At 48.3% G+C, this 977-nt stretch overlaps 1 annotated feature.

Annotated features, from left to right (window-relative positions):
* Positions 230-731: an enhancer, noted in NCBI's record as "H3K27ac hESC enhancer chr16:58366261-58366762 (GRCh37/hg19 assembly coordinates)". NCBI's record gives its function as "activates a minimal SCP1, AML or CMV promoter by ChIP-STARR-seq in naive H9 embryonic stem cells {active_cell/tissue: H9 hESC(naive)}" and the evidence as "EXISTENCE:reporter gene assay evidence [ECO:0000049][PMID:30033119]".

Here is a 977-nt window from a genome sequence, read left to right as displayed (position 1 = left end):
AACCTAATTTCTCAAACCAGAGCCACAGGGTGGGGACATTGCTTGGACTGAGTGCTTCACAGCCTTGGCTGCATTTTAGAATCATTAGGGGAGCTTTAAAAAACACAGATGCAGCCGGGTGCTGTGGTTCACGCCTGTAATCCCAGCACTCTGGGAGGCCGAGTCAGGCAGATCACTTGAGGTCAGGAGTTCGAGACCAGTCTGCACAACATGGCAAGATACCTGTCTCTACTAAAACTACAAAAATAGCCGGGCATGGTGGTGTGTGCCTGCAGGCTCAGCTGCTCAGGAGGCTAAGGCAGGAGAATCACTGGCACCGGGGAGGTGGAGGTTGCAATGAGTGGAGATCGCACCACTGCACTCCAGCCTGGGCAACAGAGCGAGACTCTGTCTCAAAAACAAACAAACAAACAAAACCAAGAAAACTATAGATTCCCAGTATATACTTCAAGTGATAATGGAAAACAGATACCAAACAAACATGTGTACACTCACGTTCATAGTAGCACTACTCACAATAGCCACAAAAGGCGGAAATAACCCCAATGTCCATCAACAAATGAATGAATAAAAAATTGTGGTGCACCCAATACTATTCAGCTGTAAAAAGGAACGAAGGCTGACTCATGCTGCAACACGGTGGAACCGTGGAGCATTAAGCCAAGTGAAAGAAGCTATGGAAAAGGTCACATTTTGTATGATTCCTTTTCTATGAAATATCCAGAGTAGTTAAATCCATAAAGAGAGGACAAGGCGCGGTGGCTCACGCCTGTAATCCTAGTACTTTGGGAGGCCAAGGCGGGTGGATCACGAGGTCAGGAGATCAAGACCATCCTGGCTAACACGGTGAAACCCCATCTCTACTAAAAATACAAAAAATTAGCCGGGCGTGGTGTTGGATGCCTGTAATCCCAGCTACTCGGGAGGCTGAGGCAGGAGAATGGCGTGAACCCAGGAGGCGGAGCCTGCAGTGAGCC

Source organism: Homo sapiens, chromosome 16 (genome assembly GCF_000001405.40).
Source record: "Homo sapiens chromosome 16, GRCh38.p14 Primary Assembly".
Classification (NCBI taxonomy): Eukaryota; Metazoa; Chordata; class Mammalia; order Primates; family Hominidae; genus Homo; species Homo sapiens.
The sequence above is the reverse complement of the archived record's forward strand: the minus strand, read 5'-3'. Positions and strand labels throughout refer to the sequence as shown.